Genomic DNA, 18,487 nt, shown 5'->3' on the forward strand with positions numbered 1-18,487 from the left:
GGCGAAAAGGCAATGGAGTTTTCAATAGCCCTGAAACAGAAGAATCCTCAAATGCCAACAAATTCTCACTGCAAAGCACACCACGCATCTGGAAACAGCTCCTAAAAGTGGAAGGGCACATAGCATCTAATTTATAGGTAAGGTAAGTGCAAGGGGACCATAATAAGTTGTATAGGCTAGAGTGGTTTGTACCCCGTGAACAAAATGAAGCTCACTTCTAGTACAAAGCACCACACTAAAGAGAAACTACTAAAAGTAGAATCCAGATTGAGCAGGACAAGGACAATCAGGGTATAGCAAAGAGGAGATCCAGAAAAAGTGATGAAGGGGACGCGGGAAACAGATCCCAGCAGATATGAGGATATATCCTTCTGAGAAAACAACAGAAAATGAAGCTTCGAGCCAAGAAGCTAATAGAAAAGATATTTTGGCCCACCTTTCTTTCTTAAAAGTAGTGAAAAACTAATTTTCTGAGGCATAGAAAAGGATAATTTGATATTATAAAAAAATTTTAAATAAATTTTTTAAAAAGGGACAGAAAACACCCTTACAGACAATTAATAGCATGCCAGAAACACATGCCCAAAAACTTATGAAAACTATAATCATCTAGTATCTCAAACTGAGCCAAAAACAATTTTAAGTGGTGGAATCAATGAATGCCCATTCTAAATTAAAGTATTAAAATACGAAAGTAAAGTAATTGTAGAAACTTTTGATTCGAAAGGAAGGAAATATATAGATAAAAGAGTCATTTCAGAAATGAAGACTAGAAGAAATACAAAAGTGAATAAATGTGACAGACAATGCATTAAAAGAAACAGAAAGGGAAAAGGAGTAAAATTCTAAAACGTTTTTTAGTTTGTGTTACAGCTCTTTCAGTCCTGCCACTTGGCAGGTCCGGAGTTCTTGTCCTGTGTCCAGGAAGAATGACATACGTGGACAGCTGGATGGTGAGCAAGGTGGAGATGAGCTTTATTGAGCAACAGAACCGCTCTCAGGAGACCTGAAGTGGGTAACTCCTTTCCACAGGCAGGTAGTCCCAACGAGTCAAGGAGACCAGAAGTGGGTAGCTCCTTCCTGCAGCTGGTAGTCCTGATATCTGTGTGAGTGTGGCGGGTCCTGGAAGTTTTTATGTCTCAGAAGGGAGGAAGTACATGCTGATTGGTCCATGGGCGACCATGGCCGGGCCCAGGAAAAGCACCTAAGTTCTCATTCCAGGCCGTGGACTCCATCCAGACCTGATAGCCTGGCCCCCAGGCTTCGGGCTGTCCCTGGCTTGAAGGTGGGGCTTCACTGGAAACCTGTCCCTTTCTGCCCAGGAGCCTATCTGCCTCATTCCGTCATCAATCACATCGTCCACAGCATCCAGTCTGTTTCTGCCAAAGGGTGCCTGCAAGCCCTTGCCGAGCCACCTTCAGCACCCTCTTCCACTTCTGCCTCCCTCCCGCACTCATCAGTGCCAAAAGTACGGAGGGGGCTGAGGCAGCAGGGGGCTGGTGTGTCAGCATCTCCCTGAGCATGTACACACCTGGCTGGGTTGTGACAGTGCCTGGGCTCGGCCACAACTTTGCTCTATCTCAGAGCGGGTACAGGGAGCTAGGAGAGGCCAGCGAGTAGAAGCAGGCACTTTTGAGCCTGTGGAACTGGGGGGTGCTTCCTGGGCACCCAAGAGCACAGGAATGTCTGGGTCTGGAGCCACAGCTGGGCACCTGCAGCCTGGGAGCACGGGGCTTCTGTCCCACTGACCCAGTAGGGGGAGGGGCTCCTGCCTATTCCCTCCCCTCTGGCTCTGCAGAGCACACAGCCCCAGCCATGCCTTTGCTGATGCAGCTGGCATTTACACAGCAGCTGCTCTGGACGGGCTGGTGCTACTGTCACTGGGATAACTGGCTAGCCATTTGCAGAAGATTGAAACTGGACCCATTCCTTACATCATACACAAAAATCAACTCAAGATGGATTAAAGACTTACATGTAAAACCCAAAACTATAAAATCCCTGAAAGATAACCTAAGAAATATCATTCTTGACATAGGACCTGGCAAAGATTTTGAAGCAGGATATTTCCCTGACCCCTTTGCATGTGGGAACTGGAATGCATGGGTGCTGGCAGGGGTGAACTCCATTCACTTGACCTGCTGTGCTGCACCCCTCTTGGGAGAGGGAGCACACAGGTGAGTAGGTGCAGGAGCCTGGACAATCACTTTGGGGTGCTGGCAAGAGCAAACTCTGTACTGGCCTTGTGGCAGCATCTGGGGTGTGTCTGCAACCCCTGAAGCCCCAGAGGAAGTGCTACAGTGCTCTTTTAGCTTTGCTGCCCATGGATGGCTTAAGTGTTAACATCTCAGTGGAGGGTCAGTGTGACAGCCTTTTGTACCCACACTTGTGGCACCTGAGTTCTTGTCCGGCATCCAGGAGGAATGATGTTGCACGAACGAATTGAAAATGGTAAATCAGCAGATTTTATTGCTGATGAAAGTGGCTCTCAGTGGGAGAGGGAGCTTAAAATGGGTTGGAGCAGGAAGTCCCCACTCCACCATCCCCAGCCAGACTTCTCTCTGAAGCTAGGCCATCAAGCTATCCCTTGGAAGTCAAGCTGCTTCTCTCTTATGTCCATTTGTAGTCTCTGACATCCAGTTGCTATTCTCCTCTTCTGTGTCAGCTGAGTCTGGGATTTTTATGGACGCAGGATGGAGGGTGGGGGTTTTGGAAAAGGCAACATTGGAGCCGGAAAACACGGGTGTATGTTCTCACTTTGGGCCATGGTATCAGGTTTTTTGGCTTGAGGGTGGGGCCCTCACCGGTGACCCACCCTCCTCTGCCCAGAATTTCCCTGCCTCCTGTCCCTATCAATTTCATGATGAAGATGCCAAAAGCAATCGCAACAAAAACAAAAATTGACAAATGGGACTTCGTTAAACTAAAGAGCTTCTGCATATCAAAAGAAAGTATTAACAGAGTAAACAGACAACCTACAGAATGGGGGAAAATTTTTACAAACTATGCATCTGACAAAGGTCTAATATCTGGAATTTTTAAGAAACTTAAATTTATAAGAATGAAACAACCCTATTTAAAAAGTGGACGAAGTACATGAACAGGCACTTTTCTAAAGAAGACATGCATGTGGCCAATAAGCATATGAAAAAATGCTCAACATCGCCATCATTAGAAAAATGCAAATAAATCACAATGAGATCCATCTCATACCAGTCAGGATTATTAAAAAGTCAAAAATAACAGATGGTGGTGAGGTTGTGGAGTAAAGGGAATGCTTATACACTGCTGCTGGGAATGTAAAATAGTTCAGCCATTGTGGAAAGTGGTGTAGCAATTCCTCAAAGAACTAAAAACAGAATTACACTCAACCAAGCAATTTCATTATTGGGTATATACCTGAAGGAATGTAAATTTTTCTACCATAAAGACACATGCACACATATGTTCTTTGCAGCACTCTTCACAATAGCAAAGACATGAAATCAACCTAAATGCCAATTAATATTAGACTGGATAAAGAAAATGTGTGCATGTACACCATGGCATACTTGCAGCCATGGAAAAGAATGAGATAATGTTATTTGCAGCAACATGGATTGATCTGGAGGCTATTATCCTGAGTGAATTAATGCAGGAACAGAAAATCATATACTGCATGTTCTCACTTATAAGTGGGAGCTAAACAATGAGTACATATGAACACAAAAAAAGGAACAACAGACTCTACTTGAGGGTGGATTTGCGAAGGTGGGTGAGGATTGAAAAAATACCTATTAGATACTATGCTATACCTGGGCAATGAAATAACCTGTACACCAAATCCTTGTGACATGCAATGTGCCTATATAACAAACCTGCACATAAACCCCACATGTCTTCTTTTGAAAAGTGTCTGTTCATGTCCTTTGTCCACTTTTTAATGGAGTTGTTTTATTCTTGTAAATTTAAGTTTCTTAAAGATTCTAGATATTAGACCTTTGTCAGATGCATAGTTCACAAACATTTTCTCCCATTCTGTAGGTTGTCTGCTTACTCTGTTGACAGTTTATTTTGCTATGCAGAAGCTCTTTAGTCTAACGAAGTCCCATTTGTCAATTTTTGTTTTTGTTGTGATTACTTTTGGCATCTTCATCATGAAATCTTTGCCAGGTCCTATATACAGAATGGTATTTCCTAAGTTATCTTCCAGAGTTTTTATATTTTGGGTTTTACATTTAAGTTTTTCATCCATTTTGAGTTGATTTTTGTATGGTGCAAGGAAGGGGTCCAGTTTCAATCCTCTGCAAATGGCTAGCCAGTTATTCCAGTTATGGCAGTGGCGGCCCATCTGGAGCGGCTGCTGCAAAGACTCCAGCTGCAGTGGGGAAGGCATGGCTGGGGCTGCATGCTCTGTGGACTGGCGGGGGCCAAGAACAGGCGGCAACACCAACCCCTACTGAGTCAGAAGGCAGGAGCCCCGAGCTTCCAGGCACAGCTGCAGCCACCCAGCTGTGGCTCCCGACCCAGGCATCCCAGTGCTCTTGGGGGCCCAGGAAGATCCCCCAGCTGCCACAGGCTTGGAAGTGCCTGCTCCTGCTCCCTGGCCTCCCCACCTCCCAGGACTCACTCTGAGGTGGAGCAAAGTTGTGGCCAAACCCAGGTGCTGTCACAACCCGGCCAGGTGTGTGCACACTCAGAGCAGAGCTGACACACTAGCCCCTTGCTGCCCCTTGCTGCCTTGGCCCCCTCCAGACTCTGGGTGCCGACAAGTGTGTGAGGGATGTCAGGAGGTCTGAAGGTAGCTTGGCATGGGTCTGCAGGCACCCCTTGGCATGAACTACCTGGGTGCCATGGACAACACGATTGATGGTGGCAGGAGGCAGACAGACTCCTGGGTAGAAAGGGGCAGTTTCCCAGTGAAGCACCACCTCCAAGCCAGGGACGACCTGAAGTGCTGGGCTGTCAGTTCCAGGTGGAGTCCATGGCAGGGAGCGAGAACTTATGGCGCTTTTTTTGGGCCTGCCCATGGCCACCCATGGACCAATCAGCATGCACTTCCTCCTTTCTGAGCCCATAAAAATCCTTGACCTGGCCAGACTCACACAGACATTGGAACTACCAGCTGCAGGAAGGAGCTACCCACGTCAGGTCTCCTTGACTCATTGGGACTACCTGCCTGTGGAAAGGAGTTACCCACTCTGGATCTCCTCTTGGCTGAGATCTCCAACTCATCAGGATGACCTGCCTGCAGATACAAGCTACCCACTCCAGGTATCCTCTCCACTGAGGGCTGCACTTGTCAGAACTACCTTCCTGTGGAAAGGAGCTACCCACTTTGGGTTTCCTGAGAGCTGTTCTGTTACTCAATAAAGCTTCTTTCTGCCTTGTTCACCATCCAGCTGTCTGTGTACCTCATTCTTCCTGGACATGGGACAAGAATTCAGGACTCAGCGAATAGTGAGCCTGAAAGAACTAACAAAAACAGAGCTGAAACATGCCCCTCCCCACCGCCCTGCCACCACCTCTCACCATGCTGTGGGCAATGAGAAAGAGAGAAGAGCTGCAGCCTTTTGGGGAGCCCAGACCTAGAGGCTCCCTGAGCCAGGGTTGTGACACCCTCTTCGAGACTCTGCAGTTTCTGGCATCTCCAAGCTTTTGGGCACCACCACCACATTCTCCTCATCCAGATACCGGTGCCCGCTGCAGAAGCCACTTGTGGTGCATCTGATCTAGTGGCAGGCTTGCACAGAGCTGGCGCCTGTGCCAGCACCTGGCCTGCTGCAGCAGCTGGCATGCCTGGCTGCGCACACTGGCTGGACCCTGCACTGACTTGCTCACACACCCCTCACAGCTCCATGCCTGGCTCACCCTTGGCAGGTGTGGGTTCTGGGCTGGCAGCAAGAGCCAAGTGCAGCCTGCCCGGCCAAGTGGGTGGAAGGAGCCCAGCAGGCCCAAGCAAAACTCGGGCAAAAGCACCACCAGCCACAGAGGTTTCCGGCTGGAAAAGTGACACCTGAATGATCCCGAGACACCAGCACCATTTATTGAATAGGAAGTCCTTTCCCCATTGCTTGTTTTTGTCAACTTTGTCGAAGATCAGAGGGTTGTAGGTGTGTGGCATTATTTTAGGGCTCTCTCTTCTGTTCCATTGGTCTACATGTTTGCTTTTATATCAGTATCATGCTGCTTTGGTTACTGTAGCCCTGTAGTATAGTTTGAAGTTGGGTAATATGATGTATCCAGTTTTGTTCTTTTTTGTTAGGATTGTCTTGGCTATTTGGGCATTATTTGGTTCCACATGAAGTTTAGAGTAGTTTTTTCTAATTCTGTAAAGAATGTCATTAGTAGTTTTATAGGAATATCCTTGAATCTGTAGATTGCTTTGGGTAGTATGGCCATTTTAATGATATTGATTTTTCTATCTATAAGCATGAAATGTTTTCTTGCTTGTTGAGTTCTTGTTGTTGAGATCTTTCACCTCCCTAGTTAGCTGTATTCCTAAGAATTTTATTATTTATGTGGCTATTGTGAATAAAATTGTATTTCCGATTTGGGTCTTGGCTTAGATGTTGTTGGTGTATAGGAATGCTACTGATTTTTGTACATTGATTTTGCATCCTGAAACTTTGCTGAAGTTGTTTATCATCTCAAGGTGTTTTGAGGCAGAGGCTATGGAGTTTTCTAGATATAGAATCGTGTTGCCAACAAACATGGATAGTTTGACTTTCTCTTTTCCTGTTTGGATGCCTTTTATTTCTTTCCCTTGCTTCATTACTCTGGCTAGAACTTTCAGTACTACATTGAATAGGAATGGTGAGAGTGGGCATCCTTTTCTGGTTCTTGTTTTCAGGGGGAATGCTTCCAGCTTTTGCCCATTCAGGATGATGTCAGCTGTGGATTTGTCATAGATAGATCTTCTTGTTTTGAAGTATGTTCCTTCATTGCCTAGTTTATTGAGTGTTTTTAACATGAAGGGATGTTGAATTTAATCAAAAGTTATTTCTGCATCTATTGAGATGATTCTGTGGTTTTTGTCTTTAGTTGTGTTTATGTGATGAGTCGCATCTATTGCTTTGTCAATGTTGACTAAACCTTGCATTCCAGGGATAAAGCCTACTTGATCATGGTGGCTTGGCTTTCTCAAGTGCTGCTGGATTCAGGTTGCTAGTATTTTTGTTGAGGTTTTTATGATCTATGTTCATCCAAGATATTGGCCTGAAGCTTTCTCTTTTTTTGTTGTGTCTTTGCCAGGATTTTTTATCAGAATGATGTTGGCATCATAAAATGAGTTAGGAGCAGTCTCTTCTCCTCAGGTTTTTTGTTTGTTTGTTTTGTTTTTGGGATAATTTCAATAAAAATGGTACCAGCTCTTTTTTATCCAACTGGTAGAATTTGGTTGTGCATCCATTCAGTCGTGGGCTTTTTCTGGTTGGTAAGCTTTTTATTACTCATTCAATTTTGGAACTCATTATTCGTCTGTTCAGGGAATCAATTTCTTCCTGGCTCAATGTTGGGAGGTTGTGTTTCCAAGAATTTATGCATTTCTTCTAAGTTTTCTAGTTTGTGTGTACAGAATTGTTCTTAGTAGTCTCTGATCATTTTTTCTGTGTTTCTGTGGGGTCACTGGTAATGACCCTTTGTCATTTCTAATTGTGTTTATTTGGATCTTTTCTCTTTTTGTATTTCTTAGTCTAGCTAGCAGTCTATCAATCTTATTTTTTCTTTCAAAAAACCAATTTCTGGATTCAATGATCTTTTTGTATGCGTTTTTGTGTCTCAATTTCCTTCAGTTCAGCTCTGATTTTGGTTATTTCTTGTCTTCGGCTGACTTTGAGGTTGGTTTGCTCTTATTTTTCTAGTTTCTCTAGGTGTGATGTTAAGCTGTTAAATTGAGATCTTCCTAACTTTTGAATGTGTGTATTTAGCACTATAAAATTCCATGTTAATACTGTTTTAGCTGTGTCCCAGTGATTCTGACCTGTTGTATCTTTGTTCTCATTAGTTTCAAAGAATTTCATGATTTCTGCCTTAATTTCATTGTTTACGCCAAAGTCATTCAGGAGCAGGTTGTTTAATTTCCATATAATTATATGATTTTCAGTGATTTTACTAGTATTGATTTTTATTTTTATTGTGCTGTGGTCCAAGAATGGGGTTGGTATAATTTTGTGTTTTTTTTATTTGCCAAGAATTGTACGACCAATTATATGGTCAATTTTAGAGTATGTGCCATGTGCAGATGAGAAGAATGTATATTCTGTTGTTTTGGGGGTAAATACACTAATGATATTTGTTAGTAGTATAGTCCTTAACTGTGAAATCCCCTTTACAAGATGTTCTGGTTTAAGACTGCATATCATAAACAAACATACAGATTCTAGTAATAATTAAAGCATGGCTCACTGGAGAATATTGCCTAGATTACACAAAAATCTGAGGTATAAAATGAAAGTATTCCATAACCCAAAGACTCACCAATGTGTAAGATGATGTACTGATTTCACTTAGGGACTTCAGCTATCATTCTAGTCCATAAAGTACATTCTCAGTGCAGAAAGGGAGTACCTGGGGAGTCCTGTGGGTTTTCACAGACCTCTTTTTTCTTTCTTTGTGCTTCTTGATTGCTTGTATTCTTGAAAGTATTAATAAAGCTAGATCATGTGAGTTGGTTAGCTCAATGTGTTAGCTCAATTGCCAAGTGGGCTTTATGCCAGATATGCAAGTTCGGTTTACATTAAAAAATCAATCAATGTGATTCATCATATAAATAGGATAAGAGTGACAGGTGTAAACATAATACCATCTCATAACTCTATAATAATTTATTCCATAAATATTTATTGACTGCCTCCCATGTGCCAGGTACTGCTCAGGACTCTGAGTAGAGCAGTGGGACAAACACACACCACCATCACCACCAATAACAACAAAGTCTCTGCTTTCATGGAACTTACATTCTAATCATCTGAATCTGGTGTCTGTGGGAAAAATTCAGATATAGATATTTCTCAGGTATTTCAATGCATGGAATAGGAGATGCAGACATCTTACTACGTAAATGATTAAAACCATGTCAATCTATATCTAGTTTCCTGAGAATTATAAGAACTCTGGTTTATTAAAATTTTCTGTGCAAACAAACTAATCCAGCTAACGAGAGAACTAGAAAGATTCAATGTGCGTGTGCACGTGATAGATTGGTTATTGTGCTCGTCAATTAGATTGCCCTTTAAATATCTTTGGGGTTCTAACAAAGGCATCATCAATTCAATTGAAGTATCTAAGCACCACCCAAGACAATGGACCAAGGCTTTCTGCCTTCTGTGAACTCTAAAATAACTAACTGATGAATAACTATAGTTCAATACATCCTCTTTTAGTGAATTGTAAGTATGTATATTTCATATGCCGTGAAGAAATCTGCCCAGTAAATGATGACAGCCAATTACATGCAGACCTCTTGGGTATTCCTATCAGGCTATGATAGGAGAGTTGCCCTGAAAACTGTGCTTGTGGTTTCTCTATATGGTAAGTCCCCTTCACCTATATGCTGGAAATCAATAATGCTACTTTCTTAGCATTGGGGGAATAAAAACTTTAGTCATAAGTGAAGGAGCCTTATAGATAATCTTACTAAATTCCCATTTTCTGGTGCTTCAAAGAAATCCTGGAAATACAACTTAGTGGATGAGGCAGATGGCATTATTTCATAACCTACCATGTTTACCAGGTCCGCCAAGACTATGAAACAAATATATGTTGTAGGTTTTTTGTTAACACTAAGAATACCAGAGATTTGGTTTCTGCCCTGTTGGACAGCTTATGATATACCACGGAACATTGACTTTGGTATGGTAAACATTATAAAGAAGAGTTGGACTCAGCCTGGTCTGAGGGATGAGAAAGGACTTCTCATGATATTTATGTTGAGATTGAAGATTGAGGTATGAGTTAACCAGTTGAAAAGAGAAGAGAGGAAATTTGACAAACACTATCAGTTGCCTGCCTCTATTATAGAGACTATCGAGGTTAAAAGTTTGATTTCCCACACCATCTTCCAGCAGGGGTAGCCATGTGACACAGTTCTGGCCAATGAGATATAGAGATAAATCCCTGAAAAGAGCAACCATTCTCTAATAAAAACACAAAGCCTTGCAATGAGAGAGCCTTTTGGTCCTTTCATTTTTTGCTGTGTTTTTCTTAAACCTCGTCCTTTTTTCCATCTGTACATTGATTTGATGTCCAAGAATGTTGTAGCCATTTTGCCACAATGAGGTAACCTTTATGAGACAAGAGACTGCAGAGGAGAGTATTTTCTGGTACTACACTGTTGTGTAGTATCTCCAAATCTGGACTTCTGTCAGAGCTGGGTCAAATGTCTTGCTTGTGAAAGAAGTAAACCCTATCTCTAGGCAAAAGCTAATTGAGTTTTCTGTTATTTGCTGCTAAGTGCATTCTTACATGACATAGAAAAGAGGCGATAAGTTCAAAAAGTAGGCCTGGGTTTAATAGTGCCAGGCCTTATAGGCCATTTAAAAAATTCTATCAGTCAGGGTCCAATTAGAGAAGTAGAAGTGTGTGTGTGTGTGTGTGTGTGTACACAAACATACATATGTTTACCACTTACACAATGTGAGGATGGGCTAGCAAGTCTAAAGTCTGTAAGGGAAGCCATCAGGAGGTAAAGATCACAAGAAGGCTAGAATCCCACCGGCATAAGCTGTTTGGTATCTTGAAGCTTGAGAAAGGACTAACCTCTTAAAAGACTCATCTGATTAGGTCAGGCCCACTCAGGATAATCTTTTAATTAATTTAAATTCAATTAGTTAGGATCTTAAATCACATCTGAAAAATTTCTTCACAGTAGCACCTTGATTACATTTGATTGAATAACTGGGGACTGTAGTTTAGCCTAGCCAACTTGAAATATCAAAAGCCAACACATTGACTTTATCGCAAGGTCAATGGGAAGCCTTTGAAATTTTAAGCAGAAAAGGAGAGTGTGGCTAAAGTGTGGAAGCTGACTGGGAAGTGAAATAATTTGGGAGAGTAGGAAAAAATTCATGTAGGAAGCTATTGCAGTAACCTAGAATAGAGAGATTATCAAGATTTAAAGTAATATGATGGGAGTGAGGATGGGAATAAGAGGAGAAATTGGAGGACCATGTAGGACTGGACTCTGGTGAGTGACTGAGTAAGAGGAAGACAGAAGAATCGGTATGACCTTCTGGGCTTCTGGTGTGTAATAGGGGATTGTTTACCACTTATGGAGACCTGTAGACCTAGAAGGAAAGTTGTGCCATTTACTAAGATCACAATTCCAGAGGAAGAGTGCATTTAGAGGGGAAAATTATAAATTCCATTTTAGGGTAAGCCCTATGAAGAGCCAATGGGATATACTCTGTGGATTTATCGAGGAGATTGTTGGATGGTGAGGGGTGCATTGATCTAGAGCTCAAAAGAGCGATCTAGACTAGAGATATAAATGCAGGACTTGTTGACCATGAGTACTTGATGTCATGAAAATGGATTAGTGGGTCTGGAGAGAATACTGGAGTGAGAAGAAGAGGATACATTTCCATGTTTTTCTAATATCTCATAGGTGGAAAAGAATCTGGCAGGAGACAGTAATAAGAAGGATCTTGCTACAGATTTGAGGACTCAACTGTTGTTTTAAAGGCTGAAATGACCTGCATGGTAGGAACATGCTTGCAGGAGTCCCACACTACTGAAAGAAGACTTCTTTGAAGATAAAATGTATCCAGGTACATGGCACTGGAGGAAGAGGTGAGAGGTCAAACACTTATCAAAGACTACGTCTTAGAGTTGGATAGGGTTGGGAACACATCTTCATCACAACCCCAATGCTATAATCTCACAATGTAAATGAGGCTACCTCATAGAAATTGAGGTGAAGAGTAAATCATATATTCCACATGGACATTAAACAACACTCAAAAATAATTTTTAAAGAGACTGGTTCTATAGTACAGTAGTCTCCCCTTTTCCATGGGGGATACATTTCAAGGCCCCACCTGAAACCACAAATAGTACTGCATTATATATACTCTGTTTTGTCCTATACATACATACCTATGAAGAAGTTTATAAATTAGTCACAGAAAGAGATTAACAATAAGTAATAAAGTAGAACAATAACAATACTCAGAACATCATGCAATTTAAAAGTTATAAATTGTTTATTTCTGGAAATTTTCCATTTAATATTTTGAACCACAGGTGAAGGTACATAACTGAAACTGGAAAGCAAAACTGTGGATAAGGGTGACTACTGTAAAGCCAAACATACGTAATAACTAAACTATGTTTTGAACATTTACCATGCACTAGGTACTAGTCAAAATGCCTCGCATGTAGTAACCCATTGAATTCTCACAATAACCCTTCTAAGGAGGTAATACTATTCAATGTTTCAGGATGAAGCACAGAGGTTCGTCCAAGTTCATTTGTTCATTCAACAAACATTCATTAATCATTTACTGTTGCTTTTCAAGATGCTAGACATACATCAGTAACAAAACAGACAAAATTTCTTCTCCAATAGAGTTTACATTCTAGTGGGGAAGACAGTGTTCGAAGGTGATAAGTGATATGAAAGGAACATTAAGAGCAGGAGAAGGGGAATTACTGATGCCAGGGCTAGAGGTTTTGTGTTGCAGTCAGAGGAGGCCTTACTAAGTCTGTATTTGGACAAAAACTTGATAGAACCAAAGAACAGCAAGGAGGTCACTTTGGCCAGTGTGAGATGAGCAAGTGTGAGAAGATGAGCTTAGGAAGTTAGTGGAGAGCCAGGTGGGGCCAAGTCTTGGAGGCCACTGAAGACTTTGGCTTTATGCTGAGTAAAATGGGGGCTGTTGGAGGGTTTCATGGAGGACATCATTCAATTCACCTAATAAAAGGATAACTCTGGTTGCTGGTTTGATGATTAATTTTTGGGGGGTTAGCCAAAAACTAGAAGGTCAGTTGAGAGGCTATTACGAAGATCTAACAAGAGATTGCTTGGTGCTTGAACCAAGGATGTAATGGTGGAAGGGCTGGTAGGAGTTTGGGCATATTTTGAAAATAGAGCTAGTAGAATTCCCTGATTGGATGGAGGACATGAGAAAAAGAGAGGAGTCAAGGATGACTCCAGTGTTCTTGGGCTGGGAAATTAGAAGACAAAAATTGCCACTAATTCTAATGGGAAAGATCACAGGTGGAGCAGATTTTGTGGAGGAGATAAGAAAATCAGTGTTGGGGCCAGGTGTGGTGGCTCACACCTGTAATTCCAGCAATTTGGGAGGCTGAGGTGGGAGGATCATCTGAGATAAGGAGTTCGAGACCAGCCTGGCCAACATGGTGAAACCCTATCTCTACTAAAAATACAAAAATTAGCTGGGTGTAGTGGCGGGTGCCTGTAATCCCAGCTACTCGGAAGGCTGAGGCAGGAGAATTGCTTCAACCTGGGAGGTGGAGGTTGCAGTGAGCCGAGATGGCGCCATTGCACTCCAGCCTGGGCGATGAGAGTGAAACTTCATCTAAAAAAAAAAATCAGTGTTGGATATAAAGAGTCCACCATGTATCATTGCATTACACATTCATATTTTTTCTTCCTGGATTTTTAAAAGAGGCATATCTGGAATACGTACTCATTTAAAAATAATATCTGACAACCAGCTACCTTCTTGGACAGCTTCGTAACTATTTCCACAAGGTAAGTCATACCTATGTTTTTGATAATCTTGGGAAAAAAAGCGTACTTTAATAATAATTTTATTATTTTCTGTAAGCATTTTAAACAAATTTAACATAAAGGATTATGAAGTTCTTTGATGGAAAGTGGTTAGGACAGGTCTCAGTCTGAGCAAAACAGAGATTAGGAATCCCTGTTTAATTTAGCTAGGCTCTTTGGTTATGAGGACTTGAAGTAGAGGGCTTCCAGTGGATGTTTCCAGCACCTTCTCCTGAGTCCCTTTATCTTTCCATCTTCCAAGTCTCACAATCAGGCATCCCTGTCCTCCTTCTCTGCACATTGGCAATGGATAAGGCTCTTCCCTTATGCTACAAAGTGGAGCTCCTCAAGCTTTGCTGGGTGGTGAATGATACTCAGTCCTGACAGGATGTGGAAGAGAGGATGCCTGCCTCTGTCCCCAAATGAGGGGGACAGGAGGCACTTCATTCCTTTTTAGTCTTCCTACTAGGACTAGTTCTCCTAAGAAATAAGCATAAGCTAATCATTTTTTAATCTTTTCTTAAAGAGAGATTATTCCTCCTATCAGGAAGGCTTTCCCCTCCCCCCAATTTGACATAATGCATTCACCATTACTGTTTGTCTCACTCCAGAGCTTGGCTTGCATTACAAAAGTCACCACATTTGCTGAAAATAGCTGCCTCTTAGTTAGTCCTGTGGTGTTTGTGTTTTCATTTAGCTGGGGCTTAATCCTGATAGAAGGAGAGGATTTTCTAGTTAATCCTGCCCCCCATAATTATAAGAATAAAATGGACTGAATGACTACAAAGAACTGAATTAAAACAATTCCAATACATCCATCAAGGCATTTGGATATTAATTAGAGACACTAGCATAAAATAAGCGCTAGAGAATGGCTAGATTAGAAAAAGTAAGCATCCCTTTGATTGTGTATTCTAGGTGTATTTTGAACTGAGACAAATTCTGACCTCAGTGAATAAATTGACAAAGCATGATTTTTCTAAACAACTTTACATTGTGGTTGTGAAAGATGTTCTTGCTTTAGATACTGTTATCACAGCACACCTAAAACTTGTCCTTTCTTCTCTTACATCATCTTTCTTCAGTTGTGCCCTTTCTTACCTCTTTGTGCAATTATTCTTTTCTACTGAAACTTTCCTCTCAGACTGTAAGCATGCTACTACCCTTTCCCTAAATCCAGTGATGTCTTCCAGCCTTCTCCTAGTATCTCCCATTTCCATCACCTGCAGCTTTCCAAAATGATCTGCAGGCATTGCCTCTACTTCCTCAACATCCATCTTGACTCCTCATTGTCCATCCTTCATTTCTACCACTCTGTTGAAACCATTATCATCAAAGAATACTTTATCACATAACTTAGAATCTAATGCATAATCTTCTCAGAAGAGTCTTGGTTATCACTTTTTATTACTGAAATTCCTCCTTCTCTGGCTTCCATGATGTATCGGTTCTTGTCCTGTCTTTTAAAACCTTCTTAGTTCTTTATTCTGTTTTTCTAATCTTAAATGCTGCTGAGTTATCATATCACTTTTTTACACAAAGACCTTTAACAGCTTTTTATGGTTTATTGAATTAAGTTTAAATTCCTCAGCCTGTCATTCAAAGTTCTCCAAAGATTGACCCTGGAGGCTGAAATCCAAATAGATACTGGAGTCTAAGTGGTAGAGTGCACAGAGACTTGCACTTTGGCCATGGTATGTTGCAAATGTAGGAGAAGACCCTGTATTAAAGAGAGAGTATATCACCCTGGCTATGCTGCAATAAGATATGGAGCTCAGGAGGTCAGGCACAAAGAGGTCCAAGCTGGCCCAACCCCATGCTGTCACTTACTTTCCCACACATGTGGGTGACCCCAACATTCCCCAACCAGGAATGTCAGATACAAGTAAAAACTGGTGACAAATGTACCCATAAGACCATGAGCAAATGGAAATTTTGGCAGAAATGAGTGAGCTGCTCGCAACAATACACACTGTGATTGAGTGACAGCTGTACAACTGAATAGGAAACAACAGTGGCCTCACCTGGGGAACCAGCTGCAGTAGATCTATAGGGACATGCAATCAGCAGTACGTAAGAGTAAAACAATATTATGCAGGAAAGAAAGTCCCAACATCAAATAATTTGTCTAGATTTTCATGGCTAACGTTCAGAGAGGACTAGCTAATAAGCAAACTACACCCCACTCATATAGAAATGTTCACTGATTCCTGGACACACCATGGTTTTCTCCTCCTTGTATCACTTCAGATAATTTTGTGTCCTTATTTGCTTAACACATTTTTAACACCACAGTGTGCTAGGAAGAGTTCTAAGCATTTTACTAATACAAACTTTTAAAACACTATGCAGCAAATGCTATTAATACCTCTATTTTATAGGTAAGAAAACCAAGGAACAGGGGAATTAAGCAACTTTCTTGTAATCTCATAGCTAGGAGCGGGAGGGCCAAAATGTGAGCCCAGGTAGCTCTAGGGTCCGTACTCCTAATCACGATTCTACTCAGTTACCCATCCCTCAAGACTCAAGTCAAATGTCCTCTCTTTCATGGAACATCTCAGTGTCATTCAAGATAGAGTTTCATATTCCCTCTTTAGTGATCTGGTAACACTCAGACATACTCTTCCTGTGTCATTCTTCTCATTTTATTTCATCTTTATTTGTGGTCAGCTTCTCAGTGGCAGGGACTATGTTATAAATCTGTGTATCCCCTGCCCTAAGTAGAATGCCTGGCTCATAATGAGCATTTGAGAAATATTTGTTGAATTGAAATAAATTAATTTATCAGAGGTGGTGAGGGCTCCAAAACACTAAAAAATAGTGTTAAAAAGAAACATCAAATTAAAAAATAAATATTACCTTGTAGTCTCCAAAATAATTACCCATTAAACAAACAAACTACTAGATGAAGGAATCATAGGCACTTTCACAAGTCAGGGCCACGTGACTGTGATACACATGAGAAGAGCTTAAGCAGTGGTCCTTGTCTATCCCCCTGAAAGGAACTAGTCCTATGGAGTGGGGCTGAAAAGACCAATATTAAACTAGACATCCTTTTAATCCTATATTAATGTACACCTATGTTTGCTGTCTGTAAGTGCCTTTGTTTTTTCATTTTTGTATTGGAAAGGTGTCTCTGCTGCTCTTACTTTTCCAAAATCTCTATTTACGCTCTCTTAAATAGGAGTACTGGCTCCAATGCATCCTCAACCTTGTCTAAACATGATACTTACAAGTATATCATGTTGGCCATCACTTCTCATTTTTCTTATCCTCATTAACAGACTAGAGTCACTAAGGGTGACATAAAAGGACACCAGTGGAATTTAGGTGGACTCCGCCCATCAAAAGTGAGATACAGAAAACATCAGGCCCCAAGATGAGAGGAGGGTTCCAACTCTTCGTATTTCCAAAACTGACCATTCTTCACTGTCCAAAAATCTCTCCTAATTTATATGCAAGAAGGCTAAAACTAGATCCCAAACTTTATATCCTGCCCTTGCTCAAAAAGTATCCATTTAGAAACAAAATCTAACTTGAAAGCCAGGGAAAAAAGCTGGCTCTGGTACTAAGCATACATTTTGAAGGCTGCATTCCAAGAAACTTAATTTGATTATCCAGTTTAAGAATTTATGGAATATTTATTTTCTTACTTACTTCTGATTCACTTAACTGCAAGCCTACTAAGATGTTTCATAATTCAGCCAAACATTGGGGGCAATGAAGTGTATAACATAGCCCCTGCCATCATGAAGTGCATTCTCTAAAAAAGAAAGCAGGTATTAAGTACTTAGAAATAACTACTCACACAGTTATAAAGTATTGGATACAATTCTAGTAACTAGAAAGGGTGATCTAGTTACTAACAAGAACCATAATTATAATCAGGTGACAAATGCCAGTTGTGTAGAATGTGGGTTTAGTATAACTTTAAAAAAGCAACACAGGAAGTAATGGGTTTCTCTTTTGCACAATTAATTGAGCACTTACTATACGCCAGACACTGTGTTTATCATACATTGTTTATGTCATCTTCATGCTAATCCTATGAACTGGAAACCATTAGTCTTCTCATTTTACAGAGGAGGAAATTATGGCTCAAAAAGTCAAGTACTTGCCCATGATGATGGCTGAACCAGGAATGAAATCCAAGAGGTCTGGATTTCCTCAAGATCTGTGCTCTTTCCCACTATAAATGCTTAATAAATGCTTTAAGAAAAAGATTTAACTAAGTGTAACTCAATAAATTTACAAGAGGTTATAAATCTTTTTCTTTTCTGGGAGAACATCACCCAACCTTTCCAGGCAATGGCTCTTATTATTAGACAACATTATAGTTAAGGAGTGCCTGGATGCTGCATGTAGACAGAGTTGAGTAGGAAGACTTGTCCAGCTTAAACTCTCTGAGCCTGTTTCCTTACTAGAAGAATGGAAATTGTAACACCTTCTTTGCAGGACTGTAGTGAGGAACAACTGTAACATCCACCCATCCATTCGTTTATCACACATTTTTGAGCATATGCTCTGCAACAGATAACATAATAAGATGCTAGAGATACCAAGATGAGTAAGGCAAATTTCCTGTATTTAGGAAGCTTAGTGTGCTAGTGGAGAACTGGCAAGTGACAAACAGCAAAGTGTGTTAAGTGCTGTGTTAGGACACTTAGGGAACATATAATGTGTGCAAATTTCATAACCCATAGTTAGTGGTCAGCAGAGTCCCTTCTGTCACCACTTTACCTTAAAATTCCCTATATATCTGTGATTTTTCAT

General features: G+C 41.1%; 1 long non-coding RNA gene across 1 annotated transcript in view, besides 1 other annotated feature; it reads right to left on the bottom strand.

Moving 5' to 3' along the window:
* The window catches only part of LOC105372922 (uncharacterized), a 132,858-nt gene that overhangs the window by 47,727 nt on the left and 66,644 nt on the right, over positions 1–18,487 (bottom strand). The gene's annotated exons all lie outside the window — the stretch shown is intronic.
* Positions 1,521–2,021: an enhancer, noted in NCBI's record as "H3K4me1 hESC enhancer chr1:218138659-218139159 (GRCh37/hg19 assembly coordinates)". NCBI's record gives its function as "activates a minimal SCP1, AML or CMV promoter by ChIP-STARR-seq in naive H9 embryonic stem cells {active_cell/tissue: H9 hESC(naive)}" and the evidence as "EXISTENCE:reporter gene assay evidence [ECO:0000049][PMID:30033119]".

The sequence above is a fragment of the Homo sapiens genome, chromosome 1 (assembly GCF_000001405.40).
Source record: "Homo sapiens chromosome 1, GRCh38.p14 Primary Assembly".
NCBI lineage: Eukaryota > Metazoa > Chordata > Mammalia > Primates > Hominidae > Homo > Homo sapiens.